At 42.0% G+C, this 20,224-nt stretch overlaps 1 long non-coding RNA gene across 5 annotated transcripts in view, besides 1 other annotated feature; it reads right to left on the bottom strand.

Moving 5' to 3' along the window:
* Positions 1-5,048: 5,048 nt before the first annotated feature.
* Positions 5,049-20,224, bottom strand: part of ARHGAP29-AS1 (ARHGAP29 antisense RNA 1) — an 86,939-nt gene continuing 71,763 nt past the window's right edge. For 4 of the 5 annotated variants that reach the window (XR_001738153.3, XR_002958338.2, XR_001738152.3 and 1 more), the window contains 2 exons: positions 6,446-6,546; positions 5,049-5,343 (listed from right to left, as the gene is read on the bottom strand). This is a non-coding gene — a long non-coding RNA (ARHGAP29 antisense RNA 1). Of the gene's footprint in view, positions 5,344-6,445; positions 6,547-12,570; positions 12,755-20,224 lie in introns of those variants that run through there. The other variant, XR_001738155.2, reaches the window with a different exon arrangement.
* Positions 12,025-12,536: an enhancer, noted in NCBI's record as "OCT4-NANOG-H3K27ac hESC enhancer chr1:94792875-94793386 (GRCh37/hg19 assembly coordinates)". NCBI's record gives its function as "activates a minimal SCP1, AML or CMV promoter by ChIP-STARR-seq in naive H9 embryonic stem cells {active_cell/tissue: H9 hESC(naive)}" and the evidence as "EXISTENCE:reporter gene assay evidence [ECO:0000049][PMID:30033119]".

Below are 20,224 nucleotides of genomic sequence, written 5' to 3'. Positions count from 1 at the left end.
AATCAACCTGGACTTCCGCGGACAGGGGCCTGGCTTTTCAGTGGCAGTGACATAGCCACCAAGTGTAGCCACAGCCACCCCCACCCCACTGCTTCCTTGCCACAGAGCTTACATCCCATGCAAGGCTGAAAATACCACATAGTTGCCCTGCAGCTGGGCATAAGGAAGTGATTTGCAATCCATGTCACATAGCTTCTGTTCAGGCAGTTTGCAAAGAGGAGAGATGGTGTCCAAGAGCAGTCAGGAGGCCCTTGCCAGATTCTAGGACAGATGCCGGTTGTGTCTGACTAGTGATAATGGCCATAGGACAATAGATGAGGGTGGGCTGAGACACAGAGGACAGAGATGAAGCAGAAAGGGAGAATGAAGCAGATGAGAGAGGGGTGAATGGAGGAGGGGCAGAGCCTGGAGCAAAAGCCATGCTGTGGTTACAGAAAATGAGTTTCCTGATGTGGTGGCCCTGCCTGTCATAGCAAGAGGGAAAGAGCTCCGCCTTTGGGGAACACCAGAAGGCAAGAATGGAAAGGAACCAGACCCATTCACAGCTCTGGTCATTGCATATGTTATTCGTTCTGCCGAGGGTACCCTTTGCCTGGCAAATGCCTGTTTTTCTCTGTTCTCCTCTTCTGTACCAGACTGCAGGTGGGCTCCTTAGGGACCAGCTTAATGCTTTTTGTATCCCTGGCTCTTAATATAAATATATATAAATATTAATTTATATTAAGTTCTTATAATATAAATAGGTGATTATCAAATGAGTGCTGAATGAAATATTGATAATGAAAAACAGGAACAGGTAAAAAATGGTAATGAAAAGGGGTGAAATTGTGAAATATTTAAATTAGGGTATTGAGACATTCATAGATATTGGTGGAAGAGGTGAGGCTGTACTTGAAAACTCTTAGAAGATTCTGTATGTGGAAGGAGGATATTTAAATCTTTGAGCTAATACCAAATATGAGGAGGAATTGTAACTATTAACCAAGAAGAGCCCATGAAGAAGGGTTCAGAGAAAACTAAGTGAGATAATAAATTAAGTTCAAATTCTGAGCCCACAGATAACCTGAAGGTCAAGAAATCATGAGAGTAAGTCTTTCAAATTTTCTGAAAACATAGCACATTTTATGATGCGATCACACAATGCAATCATGAAAATCTTACACACTCAAGATCGTTTTTTCCAGAGGAATCAACATAAGGGCTGCATACTTAGCCTGCATGACATATAACATGGTAGTTTCATGGTACTTTTCTGGGAAATGACCTTTCAGCCAAGCCAATGGCAATGTTTCATGTTTCCAATTCCTTCTCTGCCTTAGGGCAACTTGGAGATATTAACATTATACCGGCTATAATGCTACTTTAATTTTTACCTTTTCTCAACTCTCTCATAGTATGTTCCATCTCAACCTAGGAGAATTTGGGGCCTCTCCTTTGCCCCATCCCCAGCCATCTGGCAATGTCTGGAGACATTTTTGTTTGTGATGACTGGAGGGGTGCTACCGGCACTGACTGGATAGACACCAGGGATGCTGCTGAACACCCTGCAATGCACAGGACCGCTCCCCACACCACAGAATTCTGAAGGCCAAAATGTCAATAGTGCCAAGGTTGAGAAAGCCTGCAAGTTTCTCCTAAATGTACAGCACAGATATGGCAACTGCCTGGCTGGCCAGCTTTAAGATTTTGTGGTTTTAACAAATGTAAAAAAATGGGAAGGATTTCCTTTTCTTTTCTTTCTTTCTTTTTTCTTTCTGAGATGGAGTCTCACTCTGTCACAAGGCTGGAGTGCAGTGGTGTGATCTTGGCTCACTGCAACCTCCACCTCCTGGGTTCAAGCAATTCTCTTGCCTCAGCCTCCCAAGTAGCTAGGACTACAGGTGCGTGCCACCATGCCCGGCTAATTTTTGTGTTTTTAGTAGAAACGGGGTTTCACCATGTTGGCCAGGATGGTCTCGATCTCTTGACCTTGTGATCCACCCACCTTGGCCTCCTAAAGTGCTAGGATTACAGGTGTGAGCCAACGCGCCCGGCCAAAAATGGGAAGGATATTCTTTGTTTCCATTTTAGAGGTTAAAATGAGATTTTATCAATATCTCTTATATTGCACTTCAAATTGTATCACACCTAAAGTCCACTTCCAATGCGAGGTTTTTCAGGTGCTTTTTTCAGGACTCACACCACCGTTTACCAAGTGCTTAGATGACATTGCTAAAGGGCTAGGAGAACAATGAAGGTTAAAAGCAGGTGGCAATAGACACTAAAATCCTGCCCAAAGTCACAGTCGTGGGTAGTGTGAAGTAGGGGTGTGTTGGGGCTCAGAAATCAATGCCTCAAAATGAAGGCCTTGGAAGCACCCTTAGAAGCAAAACCGTTTCTCTGCCCTTCCGCCCTATCAGTGCCATACTTGCCCTAGGCTAGTCATAGAAACTAGAATCCCTCTGCCCCCAAGGCAGGTCATAGAAACCAGAATCTTTTCTCCCCAAAGCTAGTCATAAAACTGAAAAATACTACTTTAATTTTCCCTCCACTTTTCTGCATAAAAACAGGCTATAAAGAAATTATCTGACCCACCTTGTTTGACTATGAGTCGTATAACCGCCCCCCCCATTCCAGACAGGGTCCTGCCCCATACCCAGAAGGAAGGAATGGTGCTCAGGAGGCCAAGAAGAATCCAGACAGACAGGCTTTGCTGGGCGTCCCCATTCAGTCTATTAGCATTGGATCATACTCTTTTCATCCAGTCATATTTCTACATGGCTGTCCATACTGTGGTGTACCTAAGCATAAAAATGGACAATTTCTCTTTTATCTTTGAGTCTTCATTCTGAAGGCGCCCATATATACATGTTAAATAGATGTGTATGCCTTTTTTCCAATTAACCTGCTTTTTGCTAGTTGATTTCTTCAGAGAACCTTCAGAGAAACAAGGGGAAAGCTCTCCCTCGGCCCCTGCAGTGGCTGGCCTTCAGTCCCAGCTTCACCCGCCAGCTCTGTCACTGACCAGTCACTGGCCCTTGGCAGTTCCCTCTCTGTGCTTCAGTTTTCTCTTTGGGAAATGAGGATTATGGTAAAGGGCTTACCTCTTTGTGGTGCGAATGCACATGTGACAAAATTAGAGCAGCACCTAGTGTGTAGAAAGCTTAGTTACCAAGATGGCGGGCACTTCCATTTACGAACCAAAGTGCTGCTGCTGTGAGGAAATAGCATAAGTATAGTTTATGTTTTCTTTGGCTGGCCAGCTTTAACTTTTTGTGGGTTTTTTTTTTTTTTTTTTCTGAGACAGAGTCTCACCCTGTTGCCCAGGCTGGAGTGTAGTGGCGCCACAATCTCAGCTCACAGCAACCTCCACCTCCCGGGTTCAGGCGATTTTCCTGCCTCAGCCTCCTAAGTAAGAGCGTGCCACCACGCCCGGCTAATTTTTGGTATCTTTAGTAGAGACGGTTTCACCGTGTTGGCCAGGCTGGTCTCGAACCCCTGACCTCGTGATCCACCCTCCTCAGCCTCCTACCTTGATTTCCATTTTTGAGGTTACAATGAGACTTTATTGTTATTTCTCATATTACTTTATATTTGTAAATTAATAAAGCAAATTACATATATTTGCTTTGTAATTTGCTTTATTAACTTACAAGCAAAATTAATAGAAGTGATTTTTATTAATAGCCGTGATTTTTCAAAGAATCACTAATAGCTATGATAGCAGGAAGAGCAATTCCTGGAACCACAGGCGTTATCCTGTATCTGTTGTTTCTCCCAGTTTTGTAACACATCACAAGAGGGCGCGAGAAGACGCCTTTTTGAACACAAGCAAGCCTCAGGCTGAAAATTTTGTTCTTTAAGCGGTACCAAAATAGTCACAAGATGGTGCTAACAGATTCCTTTTGAAAACCTAAATGGGCAGTCTCGATTTGGTTATTGGAATTATATAAAAGCTAATACTGCAGTTATCACTTTAATTAGAACAATACAATTCACGAGGTCAAGGGCAAACTTTTCAGTTCAAACGTAGACCAAATAGTCTCTGTTCTAGATCTAATCATAGCAAAGGTTTTGGAGTGAAAGTTTCTGTCTCTATTAATCAAAGTTTTAACAAAAAATATATTTTAAAAAATCATACTTAACAGGTGTTGAGTTAGCAGCCCTATTTCACAGAAAGGATGGAGTTCTTGAGGTCTGCTCTAAAGATCCCCTGCCTTGAGGAATGACTGTGAGGGGGAGCTACCTTGGGGAGTTCTGGTTTCTTTTCATTACAAGTTTACTCCTCGGCAAATTAGAGACTTGCTGAAAGAAAAGTAACAGGTCATCTCTGGAGTCCTGGATTTTATTCAAAGAAGAGCATGAAACATGATTTTAGACAACAAAAATAAAAGCAAGATTTTTTTGTCGTGTCTTTCCTTCTGAGCCTGAACTTACCTTCCCGTGGGGCGGGATGGCCCCCAGCAAGTGGAGAAGAATGAGGCTGAGGGACACATTCAAAGCAGAATGCATGCATAGCTTTTAAGAATATGATACAACAGCCTCAAGAACAGGAACTTGGGGTCATTCAGATGTCCTAACAGGAGGAATCAAATAGTGGCAGCTCCTTCAAATCGGTCGGTTCCTCTACTATTTCACTTTCTCCTTTTTGTATTTATGTAAAGAACAGGCTTGAGAATTATCATGCAATACTGAAGTAAGGAAAAGCTCTGAAGTCAGGAATGAAGGAATCCCACTTTTGTTACGTCAAAATTGCCAGAAGCCTAGACTAGAAGCAGGAGGGGGAGGAGAAAAGAAGCTAAGAGGGAGAAGGAGGTGATCAGGATTGAAAAACCACTCTAACCAGCAAGGTCTTAGCACCCTCTCACTCAGAACTCATATAATTCTCAAAATAACTCTACCAGTTTGGTGCTTTTACCTACACTTGACAGATATGGAAACTGAGAATGTGAGAAGGTAAGTCACTTTTTCAAGGTCACGCAACTAGTAAGGGGTGGAACCAGGAGTCAACCCAGATAGCTAAGAAATGCCAAGTATGTGGAATTTTAATAAAAGCTGACAAGGAATCATCCAGAACCTTTCATATTTACTCTGTGGCAGTTGTTGTCAGAGGAACATACAGAAAACAGGTAATTTGCTCTTCATTGCTGTGACTGAGGGGCAATGACCACGGAGGATACAGATAGGACTATAGTCTCTTCCCAGGGAAGGGAGTCTGGCTCTTCTCTGGAGGGCCCGGGATGCTGGGTGGTTTCCAGTGTAGGATGGAAGAAGCTACTTCCATGTTCCAGGCTGCGGCCTACCCAGCAGAAACTGCCTGGCTCCTTCCAAGGTGGTAGTTTCCCTCTGCTGTTTATTGATGTGCTATAAAAAGAAAAGTGCTTGTAAGCAACGCAAGTGCATGAACAACTTAATTAAAATAATTAAAGTAATAGCTTGTGAAAAAAAGTAGTAAAACTAATTATTATAAAGTAGCTGTGTGGGAGGATGAAAATTGCTGACATTCTTTAGGTCTAAGCTGCTCTGTTTGGCACAGAAAACACAGACAGTTTAACTATATCCTCAGAAGGGATCTGAGGTTCCCCTCTCCCAACTTAGATTTTAACTCTCCTGTTTCTCAGTTTTTAATTTCCTCCTTGGCAACAACCACACACGAATGACCCTCCAGTTCTCACTCCGAGTTGTCCCTTCTAGTCAAGCATCTGACTTTTTTTTTTTTTTTAGAGGGAGTCTTGCTCTGTCGCCCAGGCTGGAGTGCAGTGGGATGATCTCATCACTGCAACCTCCGCCTCCCGGGTTCAAGCAATTCTCCTGTCTCAGCCTCCCAAGTAGCTGGGATTAAAGGTGCACCCCACCATGCCCAGCTAATTTTTGTATTTTTAGTAGAGACGAGGTTTCACCATATTGGTCAGGCTGGTCTCGAACTCCTGACCTCAGGTGATCCGCCTGCCTTGGCCTCCCAAAGTCCTGGAATTACAGGCGTGAGGCACCGCGCCCAGCTGCATCTGACTTTTTTTTTTTTTTTAACTCAAAGAAGTATAAAAGTTTAGAATCTGAGAAGCTCAGTGCTGAAGGAACCTGCAAACCTGCTGGTAAAATTATCTGTAGGATGCGTGGCTCCCTTTGCAAACGTTCCCAGAGTGTTGCCACTTGATGGTTATCCAGCCTTTGCTGGAGCCCTTTCAGTGAGGACAAAATGACAGCTGTGGTAGCTCTGGCTGCTGTCGAGCGCCTTTTTGTTTTAAGTTACACTCAGTCCTTTTAGTGCCCCAGTATTCCTCATTCTCTGCTTCGAGGCCGTAGTGAATAAGGAAACTGCCCCTTCCAAATATTTGAAGGAAGAGCGATGTCAGCTCATGCCTTCCCAGTGTCTAATTCAATTGCCAAACCAGCCAGGTGTTCCACGCACAGGAGTGGAGCTCCAGCTGAGAGGTCCCACAGTTTACCTAGGCTCAGCCATGTTTACCTGAGATGGGCAGATGCAGCCCGGCTGAGAGCAGGGTCAGAGTCAGCTGAGAGGAGCCACAGTCGGAGCTGAGGGAAAATCGGTGAACATCAAGCCCAGACCTAGAATAGGGAACAGAAGAAGGACATCAAACTTGCTAGCTCAGAGCATCAAAAGTAGAGGAGAAACAGAAAGAAGGGTCCAGAAAGGCAGTTCAGAACTAAGACCATGAATGGTCAATTTGTACAGGAGCTCCCCTCTCCAGGGTGAGTCACGCACATCTCATGGCCATGCAGGGCAATCCCCTCTGTCAAACAGACGCCTGGTAGCTCTTCAAGTATTCATTGTGTGACAGGCTTTTGCTACTCCCTTTATTAGCCATTCTATAATCTTTCAGATCATCTCATAGAATAACTGGTCATTAGTAGGTGGAACCCAGCTGACACTTTTGGATGATGAGTGAGAGGTGCTTAAAAATGTATATCAGAACACAGAGCAGACTTTCTTTGCTCAGGAAAAATCACTTTAGTGGACTCTCTTAATTATGTAAACATAATTTGATATAGGATGGGAGTTACATCCAATTACAACACTGCACAGCCAATAACTTAAAACCAAATATGGGACATCCCTGTGTTTAAAACTCACCTGGTCACTCTTAACCCCTTATATGTAGAGTTCCCTGACAACATTTCCACTTCATTTCACTGCCCTGAGCTCCTCTTTCTCACTTCCCTTCTGGCTTTCAGCCTTCAATTCTTTTTTTTTTTTTTTTTACTTTTATTTTAGGTTAAGGGGTACAAGTGCAGGTTTGTTATATAGGGAAACTTATGACATGGGGGTTTGTTGTACAGATTATTTTGTCACCCAGGTACTAAGCCTAGTACCCAATAATAATTTTTTTTTTTTTTTTGAGACGGAGTCTCCCTCTGTCGCCAGGCTGAAGTGCAGTGACATGATCTTGGCTCACTGCAACTTCTGCCTCCCAGGTTTAAGCGATTCTCCTGCCTCAGCCTCCTGAGTAGCTGGGACTACAGGCATGCACCACCACGCCCAGCTAATTTTTGTATTTTTAGTAAAGACAGGGTTTCACCATGTTGGCCAGGATGGTCTCAATCTCTTGACCTTGTGATCTGCCCGCCTCGGCCTCCCAAAGTGCTGAGATTACAGGCGTTAGCCACTGCAGCCGGCCTTAATAATTTTTTTTATCTTCTCCCTCCTCCCACCATCCACCCTCAGGCAGGCCCAGTGTCTGCTGTTCCCTTCTTTGTGTCCGAGTTCTCATCATTTAGCTCCTACTTATAAGTGACAACATGTAGGATTGGTTTTCTGTTCCTGCATTAGTTTGCTGAGGATGATGGTTTCCAGCTCCATGTTTCTGCAGAGGACATAATCTCATTCTTTTTTATTCAGACTTCAATTCTTTTTTCTTTTTTTATTTTTAGAGACAAGGTCTCCCTCTGTCACCCAGGCTAGAGTACAGTAGCATGATCTTTGCTCACTGCAACCTCTTCCTCCTGGGTTCAAGCGATTCTCATGCCTCAGACTCCAGAGTAACTGGGATTATAGGCATGCGCCAACATATATGGCTAACTTTTGTATTTTTAGTGGAAATGGGGTTTCACCATGTTGGCCAGCTGGTCTCAAATTCCTCCTGGTCTCAAGTGATCTGCCCGACCTGGCCTCCCAAAGTGCTGGGATTACAGGCATGTAATAGCTTTCAATTCTTGATACATTTCTTATACAAATTAAGTTAGCTTTGGAGATTTCATCTTTCATATCCAAGGTCTTTTGCTAGACAAAGGATAGTCCTCTCTATGAACAATTCTATTTCCGTCTTTAAAATTAATGTTTTTAGGCCTATTACATAAATTTTCTGCACTACTTGTATAGAATTTTAGAATCTTAATGCTAAAAGTAAAATTAGTGCAAGAGAGGTATTAATTGATAACTGAGTCTATTTGTGTTTTTGCCAAAGAATGAATAGATGTGTGTCCTCTAAGGTCCTTCTCATAACTGTCTATCACTTCATGTATGATTTCAGCTCAATATAATTCAACAGTATTTATAGAGTCCCATTTAGTTCTAGAAACTATACTAGGTCACTTTGGGAGATTACAAAGAAATAAAATTAGCTTCTGCTCCTAAGAAAAGGATATCATTTACCCAGAGAAAAGGCAGGACAAAATGCAGATGAGAGTGGGGATGGAGAGAGATAATTAGATAGTTTTTTTTTTTATTTTTTTATTTTTTATTTTATTTAAGTAGATAGTTTTAAACATGTTTCGGTAGCACTCAATAAATATTTTTGAGTGGATGAATAAATGAATGAAAAGGCAATGGTGTGAGAATTTCAAAAAGCAATTGGAAATTCCAGCCTCAGAAGGATAGTCAAGGAATGACCTGCAGAGAGATGATAAATAATGGCCATGTGCACTGGCTTTTGCCTGTAATTCTAACACTTTGGAAGGCAAAGGCAGGAGGGTCAGTTGAGGCCAGGAGTTCAGGACCAGCCTGGGCAACATAGTGAGAGCCTGTCTCCACAGAAAAATAAATAAACTAGCCAGTCATGGTGGCGTGTGTTTGTAGTTCCAGCTACTTGGGATGCTGAGGGTAGAGAATCATTTGAACCCAGGAGGTCGAGGCTGTAGTGAACCTTCATCGGGCCACTGCACTCTAGCCTGGGCAACAGGGTGAGACTCTGTCTCAAAAACAACAACAATAACAACGAAATGATAAATCATGGGCTTGAAGGTTTACATGAGGTTGTTCAGTACAGTGTGAGAAACTGAACAAGCCAAGTCTAGAATCCCTGGAGATACTTACAGGAACAACCTGAGCAAAGCAAAAGAAGACTATAAAGAAACCATCAGAAAAGAGAAAACAATCTGTCAATAGAGGTAACACAGAATCACAAAAAACTAGAATAGAATAAGATGGAGAAAAACTTTCTCCTTTGGTGGCCATCAAACCAGCTGCTTCAGCAGAGGAAGGGGGAGTAAAAATCAGAGAGAGGGGAGTTTCATTTATGCAGGGAAGGAAAGAAGTGGGTGGTGTTGGCTCTGCACATTGGAGGAAGAAATGCACAGAGCCAGAGAAGACTTGAGCAGGGCTGGAGGCTGACAGGAAGGAGTTACTGCAGCTGGGAGAGAGGAATGGGCTTACTGATGGAGCACCAACCTGCTGGAGGTCAACCGTCAACTGCTGAATCCATAACAGTCGGGTTCTCTGTTGCCAGAGAGGTTTTAGCTTTGGAAAGAAATGGGGCACTGTGTTCTCAGAAACAGCAGAGGGGGCTAAGAAGAAAGAGTGTGTTTTGAGGGGAGAACAGGGAAATCGAGAGTGAAACTGTCCTTCCCACCATCTCTTAGAGTGAGAGAGCCAGGTAGGGCTGTTGTCCTTAGACAGTGTAAAAGTTTTGAAAAGGCAGCAGAAAGTCAAAAGAGATGACCCCAAGGAAATGAGGAAGGCGAGTGTTATCATCTGTGGACTGACTACAATTCACTCACAGCAATAGCTAATATTGGAGTTCTTATTTTTTCTAGGTGCTTGAACACAGAACATCTCACTTAACTCTTAGCACAATCCTTAAGGTAAGTATATTAAAATTCCAATTTTGAGATGAAGAGACCAAAGCACACAGAGGTCAGGGTGGGGGTGGGGGTGGGGGAGAGATTATACCACTATGGAGCTAGGCTTCAAACCAGGTTGTCTCACTCCAAAGCCCATGCTCAAATCTGTCTCCTACTATAGGCTACCTAATCTTTCCCATCACTTCTTACGAATATTATGCTCTGTCAGCCCTGTTCATGATTCCTCAGCCCTATTTCCCACTCCTGGCTGTGGGCCTTCTCAGAGGCTCTTCTTGTATCAGAAATATCCTGCCTGCCCAGCAAACCATTCATTCCAAAACCTCTTCAAGGATTTCTTCATAGGTACTATTTCTGTGATGACTTATTTGTTTAAATGAATCTGAGATTGAGATGCTCTTGCTCACGCATACAATGCATTGCAATTGTACAATGCATGTGTGACAGATGCCACTAGCTTTCCGGTCATTGGATGCCTACGCTTATGGATACTTTTGTATCTATGCTGATGTCAGCACCTCCAGGGGGAGAGGACTGTTTAATCTCTTCCAATTCCTCCTTATCAATCTGTATTCTATGATGTTAGTTAACAAATGCCATTTGCAGAATATCATGATGTTGCTAATAGATGTCCATTTATTCATCTTCTCTATAAACTGTAGTATAGTGGCCAAAATTCAAAAGCCTGAAAACTTCTATAAGGATTTTATTCCGGAGGTCACTTTCCCTAAAATTTGATTGTTTTGTCTGCTGAACTCATATATTTCTAGGTATTTGGTAATTCCACCTTGGTTGCTTTATCTATACTTTAAATATTTCAATTGCTCCCGAGTTGCAAGGCTAGCATTTTTCTGCTTCCTCCGTAGTCCATTTTTTTTTGAAAGGTACTAGATTTACTTGGCTCTGATTTCCCCAGGTATCTTTATGATTCCTAGGAGCCATCCAAATGCTGCATGAAGGCAGTATTAATCTCTGCAGCTTTTTCTTCCCACTCAGGAGTTGTCTTTTCTTGAGTTACTTAATTTATTGGAAGCGAATTCCTCATTGTTCTTAATTTATCACTCTCTGATACTGTTTCCATTTCTGGTACATTTATTGGCCTCATGAAGGCAAGACCAAAAAATTAAAGTAAAATAAATTAAAATAAACCCAAGTTTAATGTTTCAATTTCCTGGATGCTCCTCCTTACCCACAATCCCTTTAAGATATTTAAAGAATCTTGTATCATTGAGGTGTCTTCTAAGGCTGTCCTTCCATCACTGTCTACTTTACATTTTTTTTTCAGTTCACTTTTAAAGCCTCTTAGTATTGTTTCAAATGCCCCCACCCTTTTCTTCTTTTTAAGCGTGCTGGTTTTATAAACCGGGAACCTTCTGTTTTCCCATGGTGACATTTAATCATTATCTTCTGTGTGATGCTTCTTCATTTATTAGTCTGAGCAGTTAATTCATTTCCTGGACACAGGATTTATAAGAATGTTTAATTTGCCTTATTACCCACTTTGTTTGCTCAATCAACCCTTTGTTATAGTATCATGTTTTTCTACTCCTACTTAGCATCTTCATTCCACTTCATTCTACATAATCAACTCTCCCCCTTCTTTTGAATGACTTAGCTACTGTGGTCTATCTTTTTTGCCTTTCTCTCCATGATTTTAGCATCTTGGTTGATTAAAGAAGAGCTTCCTCTTAGCTTTCTGCCTGCTGATTTTTAGGATTGAAGTAAAAGACAATTTAATTTTGGGCTCATAGCATATCTTCTCTCGTGCCCATAATCATGTGTGACAAACTCATTGACTTAAAATAAGCAAATTATTATTTTCATAAAACAATCATACTTTTTTTCTATCATTTCCTACTAGTTATAGGACATTTCATCCCCTTAGGTCATCCTGATAGTCATCAAAATCAGTTTGAAACACTTTTACATGTTTTCCTTTAAAATATTTCATTTTCATGAACACTTTCTTCTTGGTCTGAAAACATCTGCATTTGCTGATACTTGTGTTTTACATGTTCCTTCTTATGTTTCTGATGGAAATATTTTGCTAATCTATATAAGCTTAAACTTCTGTCTTTTTTGGAGGGGCGGGGGTAACTTTTTCTAAACTAATGATGCAGTCATTCTTATCTGGAATTCATCATATTCGTGGCACAATCTCAAAGAACTTCATGGATAAAGATAGCTGCCTTGGAGCTAGACACTCCGAGGCATGAAGGGGTTAAATCATGATCGCAGCGACGGCGACCTAACAAGAAGGCGGTGATGGAACCCAGAGAAGCCAGCATTCTTAAGTCACTTCTCCCGTCCCTCTCGCCCCGCCCCCGCCAGTTCATCTCTTTTGTTGCTGGCTAGTTTCCTCTGATTGTAATTCATTCTGTATTCCTTCCTGCCCCTCTGTCTTGGCTAATTGTTCTTTCCCACACTACGGGGTTTTAATTTCCTCAAGTTATCGCCTTATCACTGGAGTTTACACTTCCTCAGCTCTTTGGGCCTGTCTCCCGCTCACCACTGAGTTTTGGTGACCCTTGCCCGACCGCTCAATTTCCACTGTACCTTAGTTTGCAGATCGCTGAAGTGGGACTGTTATTTCTCCCACTTCTCCCAAGGCAGCTGCATCAGAGTCCAGTCATTTTAGGACAGTTTTGCCAGTTAAGAACTATGTCTGAACTCTGTGGTGATTTTCATGGACATTCCAATGAGTTCCACTAGCAAAGCTGGAAGCTCCAACGATATGCCATCATTCTCTTCCCCAGATCACTACATTCCCCCAAACAGCCGTTTGGCTCTGTTTATCCTTATTTTTAACTTTGAAAGGAAATCTAGCAATAAAAATTCTATTTTGCTCTGAGTGGTACATTCACTGACAAGCAATTTTCTCCATGCTTTAAAAGTTGGAGTGACATTTTGAGCAAACTCACTATCTCAGAAAATGTCTTCACGACATGGTGCTGACCTAGGAATCCCATCAAATGCACAGACTCATCAATTTTCTTTACATTAGGTTCAGAGGAGAATCTTAATTTTCTAAAATTTCTTAATTTCCACGCCTTCTAAAAATCTCTTGTCATTATCGCATTGTGAGGGGAGGGAATTCGATATTAAATACAGACCACTTTGCATTAATTCCAGGGTGTCAAGAGTTAAAGGGAACGCACAAACCCAGTGTTGCTATTTTGTTTTATTTTGCTCTTACAGGATGGATCCTTCCTTTTCCTCTCAGTGCCTGGGGCTGGGGAATGAAGTGTCCTCTGCCTGAGGAGGTGGAGTGGAGGCCTTCGTTTTAAGACCAGGGTTCTGATTACACCTGACAGGGCCGAAACTTGATGCCCGCAGAGCTTACTGATATCTTATCTTCTTCCACTAGCCAGGATTACAGCAGGAATGTAACAGAAGTTGTCACTGATTCAGTTTGTATATGCTTAGTATGTAAACAAAAAAGCAAAAACAAAAACAAAATTCTTTTTTGTCCTCCTTGAAATTAGCTCCAGAGAGAGTTCTTTCCATCTTTTTAAAAATATTGGTCAACATAAAGAGTTTTGTTCTCAAGGCTAAATCTTAATGCTCCTGCAGAGAGTCTCATAGTTCAAGAATAATCATATTTAATAAAAAGTCTGCCTCAGAAAAAGATTCACAGAACCTGAGCCATGGCACTGATTTTGTGGTATTTGGATTCGTGTCTATAAAAATATTTGTACACCAGATGGTGGATTGTTCGACGCATTCATCCCAAACCAAAAGATTTTTTTTTTAAACTCACACACACCAAACACTGTGGGGGTGGGGGGGATCATTAATTTTTTTCCCAGTCATGCTGCATGAGTAATGGTAAAAGCAACAGCTAAAACAATAAGATTATTGTGTTGAATTCTTAATGCATTGTCAGGTATAAAGACTTCAAGTAGTGCTGAAAATATTTTCTCCCTCTGAACAACACATACCATATGTACAACTCACTTTGACAGTTTACCAAGTGTACATATTTTCTAAAACAAAATCATCCTGCTGATGGAGGAAGCTATATGGGGTGACCTACTCAAGATTGGATTGGGAAGCATCCAAATTAAACATGAAGCCAACAGCCTAGGGCCCCAGTGATTCATCCAACATGACTTTTTCTCGGCAGGTTGATTTCATTTTTAACAGTCAATTCTCAACTAACTACTCTAATGGGTGGGGAGGTATACATGATAAAACCAAAACAGGATAACAGAAAACTAACTGTGCAGTGTCTAATGTTGGTGGGAGGGTTGTTATCTATGTCCCACACCATGGCCACTCCATGGATCTTGGCTGTTCATTTATTGTCATGTTACAGCAACTGTGGACTATTTCCTGAAGGAAATCTGGCCCCTACCCATGGGTACACTGTGGTCTGCCTCTTTGAGGACGTAGGTCTATACAAGTACATGGCCTGGTTAGGAACCTTCACTTTCACAAGTGGATGCCAAGTTCTTAGGTGTACATCCGCATCTAATCAGAAGTATAGAGTTTCAGCTGTTGGGTACCTGCCAGACAATTTATCCTTGACTTCTCTGCTCCTTAATTCTTATGGAAGTTTGATTGGAGAAAACAACATTTAGGGAGAGATGCAGGCCATCCAACTTTCTTTCTTTCTTTCTTTCTTTCTTTCTTTCTTTCTTTCTTTCTTTCTTTTTCTTTCTTTCTTTCTTTTCTTTCTTTTTTTCTTTCTTCCTTCCTTCCCTTTCCTTTCCTTTTTCTTTTATTTCTTTTATTTTTTTTCAAGATGGAGGCTCACTCTGTCTCCCAGGCTCGAGTGCAGTGGTGGTGATCACAGCTCACTGCAGCCTTGACCTCTTGGGTTCAAGCAATCCTCCTGCCTCAGTCTCCTGGGTAGTTGGGACCACAGGCATGAGCCACCATGCCCAGCTAATTTTTACACTTTTTAAAGAGAAAGGGTCTCCCTATGTTGCCCAGGCTGGTTTTAAATTCCCGAGTTCAAGCAAGCCTCCCACCTCGGCCTCCTGAAGTGCTGGCATTACAAATGGAAGCCACAACACTTGGCCTTCTTTTAGATATTTTAGATATTTTAAACTTTATCTGTGCATCAAGTCAGATACTTAAAAAACTTCATTTGTGAACTGCATCATGTCATTCCCTCAGAGAACTGAATTTTAAAGGACCTCACTTTGTCATTAGGCCCTAGGTTAAAGGCTCCTGGAGTGATACCATAAGAAACAGCTATTGGAAACTCATCTGCTTTAAGTGTCATTCATGACATCAGTGTCCCTTTTGAGGACATATGGGAGAAACGTCTTTCAGGTCTTAAGGCTCCTGAGACCGTGGTATGTATGTTATAAAACACTGTGAATCCTATAACTTGTCTGTTTTCTTCATTGCTCAGAGCCAAATGTGTGATCCCCCTCCAGAAAAGACTTGAGTCTTTACAGTTGGAATTTCCGTGTCGTGAGTGGTGAGTGGTTTTATTTCTTGTTTCACTTTACTGCCTTGCTTGTATTTTTCTCTTTGCTCTAATTAATTTCTTTTGTTTCAATCATATTGCATGATTTTTATGTTACCTAAAATGCATGTCAAATGAGGTGGTGATTTGAAATCGTTAAATCATCCTTATGGCATTTCCTGAGCAAATAGCAATAAAAATATACCTTTGGAGTGTAAGGGAGGAAAAATTTCTCACTCATTGCTGGGTTCATGGCTGAGGCATCTATAACAAAAGACAGATTAAAAAAAGAAAAGCATATAAATGTATTTAATATGTAAGTTTTATATGGCATAGCTTCGGAAATGAAGATCCAAAGAGACAGAGAAACCTGTGGGTTTTTATGCTAAGTTTGATGAATAAGTGGATGATTGTGGAGATGATTAGACAAAACTGTATGATCTAATGCTAATAAACTAGGGGGAACTTAGCAAGGCTTGTTTGTTCAGATTCTTCTCTGTGTCTCTGTGTCTTCAAAGACAGGGACGTTCCTTCCCCCTGGCTACAGGGTGGGCACCTCTGGAAAGAAGGTTTTATGACCTGCTTCTAAGAGAAAGGCAAGGGGAAGGTGAGAGTAACCTTCCTGCCTCTGGGGTTTTCTGAAGTGCCAAGGTGCCATATTTTGGGGTAGTGTGTCCTGAACCCTACAAGGGGATACTCCCAAAAGTATAAATAATTCGGGGAAAAAGTTAGGATGTTTTAATTATCCCAGATAATTGGGAATTTGATATACAGTGACATCTTAACGAACAAACTCTCAGGACAAATCTAGTTTTAATTAATTTGACTGAGTTGCAGAATAAATTGAAGGACATGCTGATCTCAGACAGGAAGGCACCGTCACTGGTGGGAAATGTTCCTTGAAAAGGGCTCGTCTGGGCCAAGGACTGAAACCAAGGCCTGCTTCATTGGAAAAAGTGAAGGAAGGAGGGAATTCATTCCCCGTAACACAATTTAATGCTTCACTCCCCCTTTAACAAATCTTGTTTATAGTATTATTATGCTTAAATTTAAGTAAGCCATAACATAATCATTCTATCCATCCTTGATAATGGAGCTTATTTATGAAGATAAAGTCTACCAAATACCTTCAACAATGTGCCCAGCACTGGGGATAAATCAATGAGTCAGAATCCCTGTCCTCAACACCCGCTTTGAGCCCTTTTCTTTGTTCATTCATTCAAACAGTATTTATTAAGTATCTGAAGGGAGGGCTATGACTGTGGCAGGGCATCTAAGTTATAATGGATGAGGGGCAGCAAAAAAAAGCCCACCAGAGGAGGTGGCATTTAGATTGAGGTCGGAAGGATGAGGAGTTGGTCAAGAGACAGGGAAGGAAAATACAGTCCTGAGGATGAAACAATGTGTGTGAAGCCTGGAGGTGGGGAGGAGACTGCAGGGGCTGCTGGAGATCCGTGTGGGAGGGCCACAGGGTGAGAGGGTGCTGGGTGAGGTCATGATATGGAAGGCATTTCCTCTTCTCCCAAATGGTCTCATGGCCACACCTTTCACCTCCTCCAAGCCTTTGCTCCACCCACGTTCTCAACGAGGCCTCCTCTGTCCCTCCCGTCCCAATTGCAACACCCCCTTGCTCCAATTAGTTTCCATTGCATCTATCACCTTCTAACACAGAAATAATATGTTATTTATTCATTATCTTTCTTGTTTGTCTCCCCCACCTCACTCCTACCTCCCTCTAAGCTTCGGTGAGGCAGAAAGTTTTGTCTGCTTTGTTTACTGACATATCCCCAACATCTAGAACAGGGCCTGGCATTCCGGCTCTGTTCTTCAGGGCCAGGTCTTCAATCAATAGCCGTTGAATGGAATTGAATTGAAAGTTGATGAATGTTTTAAGCAAGGATGTGGCCTTATCTTATTTAAATTTTTTGAAGGTAACTCGAGATCCTGAGCAAAAACAATGCTTTAAATCCAAAAGACACTTTTCTGAATTGCTCTGTATCAACTCTGGAATCTAAAACCAAGGCTTGGCTAGCCAGATGTTAAGCTTCTTCCTAACCTTTCTTTCCAAGTTACCCGAGTAGAGAGAGGGAAAGGCACAACATGGTTATCGTGGAGGCTTTAGGCACAGGGGTGAGAGCCCCAGAAAGAATGCCAACCACCCTATGCAGTCAAGTCAAGCCAGAAGCATGGACTGTGTGCATGCCTACCAACAAAGCCCAAAATAACTAGGATCAATTAAATGGCGGGTACAGAAGTGTGTTTGTGTCTTGATTCTCCTCCCTGTTGGGGCTTGCTACTGCCCTGAGGAAAAAACTGTTTACTTTTCATATCAGGTTTAAACAATTTTTATTTTTAGGCTTCACTCAAAAGTAAAGCAATTTGTACTGGATAATTCATTTTAAAGAAGTCTGTTGAGAGAAATTGCCTCAGGATGGGGCGCTCAGATCTCATTAAGAGGAGATTTATTGGTTAGCACAGGCTTAGAAAAGGTTGATTCATTCATTCAACAAATATTTATTGAACATTTTCTGTGTGCAAAGCCTTGCTGGAAAGTTAAGCGTGCAGTCCTTTTACAGATTCCTTATAAAGCTTACCTTCCAGTTGGGGAAATAACATATGTGCACAAGAAGTTAAATAGAGAGGCAACAATGAAAATGTGCCCCAAGGCAGCCTGTGATTAAATGCGAAACAGGTGGTGGAGACCAGAAGCACTGTAGAATCACTCCCAAATGCCAGTCTGAACAGTTTTCAGTACCTCAGACAGTCATACAATTTTTTTTAAAAATGATTTTTTTCCTAAAGCTAAGTGAATTACATTTGAAGAACCAACAGTTATTCTGATATTATGCCTTTTATGCTTTTTGATTAGTAAATGTCTTTTTTAAAATAAGATACTGTGATGGTGGTAGTTGTTTTTTAAGTTCTTATTTGGCAGAATAAAAAATTGACAATCAGATGTTGTACTTTATTATTTTGTTTTTGTTTTTTGAGACAGAGTTTTGCTCTTGTTGCCCAGGCTGGAGTGCAATGGTGCAATCTCAGCTCACTGCAACCTCCGCCTCCCAGGTTCAAGTGATTCTCCTGCCTCAGCCTCCCGAGTAGCTGGGATTACAGGCATATGCCACCACGCCCAGCTAATTTTGTATTATTAGTAGAGACGAGGTTTCTCCATGTTGGCCAGGCTGGCCTCGAACTCCCAATCTCAGGTGATTTGCCTGCCTCGGCCTCCCTGTACTTTATTATTGTTTTTAAAAGTCTTACTAGTCCACTTCAACCCCTCTCAAGCTAGAAACTACTGCTATTGAGGCAAACAGGATTGCAGCCAGGAGGGGCTCGTGGACTGGCATAGTAAACTGGGTGGGTTTTTCATGGTCAGAATGGAGGCAGATAGACATCCTAGATTAAGTAAGTCACAGCACATTTTTGTGGAGTTGAATTCAATCAGATTTTACGTGTAGCAGAGCCACAGATGTGATGATGGGGACAGCGGGTAGGAGTCGGTGAAGAGCACCCCCTGCAAAGGGCATGCGCAGATGACTCTTGAGAAATCAGGTTGAAAGCTGGGGAAGATCGTGGAAAGCCTTGAATATCCAAGTAAGGACATAGACTTTGGAGATATGGACAGAATTTTATTTTATTTTTTCAATTTTTTCCTTGAATTCTGAAATATGTCCTGATGGTCAGCATTTTTATGAATAGTTTTAAAGCAGACCAGTGATATGAAAAAATAGTATTTTTTTATTTTTTATTTTTATTTTTTGAAACAGAGTCTAGCTGTGTTGCCCAGGCTGGAGTGCAATGGCACGATCTTGGCTCACTGCAACCTCCGCCTCCCAGGCTCAAGCCATTCTCCTTCCTCAGCCTCCCAAGTAGCTGGGATTACAGGCACCCGCCACCACACCTGGCTAATTTTTGTATTTTTAGTAGAGATGGGGTTTCACCGTGTTGATAAGGCTGGTCTCGAACTCCTGACCTCAGATAATCCACCCACCTTGGCCTCCCAAAGTTCTGGGATTAGAGACGTGAGCCACCACGCCCAGCTGAAAGAATAGTATTTTTAAAAGATTAAACTCAATGTCAACTATGGACTTCTGGAGATAATGATGTATCAATGTAGGTTCATTGACTGAAACAAATATACTGATGTGGGATGCTGATAATCAGAGAGGCTGTGTGTGTGTCTGGGGACACGAGACACACAGGAACTCTTTGTACTTTCTGCTCAATATTGCTGTGAATCTAAAACTGCTCAAAAAATAAAACCTATTGTAAAAAGGATTAATCTGGCAGCTGAGTGCCAAATGGATAGGGGGTGGGGCAGATCGAGAATATAAAGTCACAAGATACAAAATTAGGTACAAGCATCTGTCCTGGAGCTTGAGATTTGTTAGCTACATGACAAATCCACTTTTAGCAGGGAGCGACTCTAAAGGCAGGGAACCCCGCCAGGAAGCAATTGTAATGTCCCAGGCCCAAAATAAGCAGGGCATTGAACAAAGTATCAGCAAAGAAAATGGAAAACAGAGAATGAGTATGGGCATGAATAGGAAGGAAATCCCATGGTACTTGGTGATTAATGAAGTCTGAGGGAAGCGAAGGGTGGGCAGAGTGACCCTGGGGTTTGACCAGCTGGGTGATAACTGCACTGCAGTCAGAAATAGGGAAATCAAGACAGAAAACTCTGGGCAGTGGGGGAGGGGGACACAAAACTGGGGAGGGGTTGTCTTTGGGTTAATGGCAGCACCTCTCTGAGGAGGTGGGAGTCAGTGAGCAGCATTTCCTAAGTGC

Source organism: Homo sapiens, chromosome 1 (genome assembly GCF_000001405.40).
Source record: "Homo sapiens chromosome 1, GRCh38.p14 Primary Assembly".
In the NCBI taxonomy this organism is placed as follows: Eukaryota; Metazoa; Chordata; class Mammalia; order Primates; family Hominidae; genus Homo; species Homo sapiens.
Note: the sequence above shows the minus strand (reverse complement) of the source record. Positions and strands in the feature narration are given on the sequence as shown.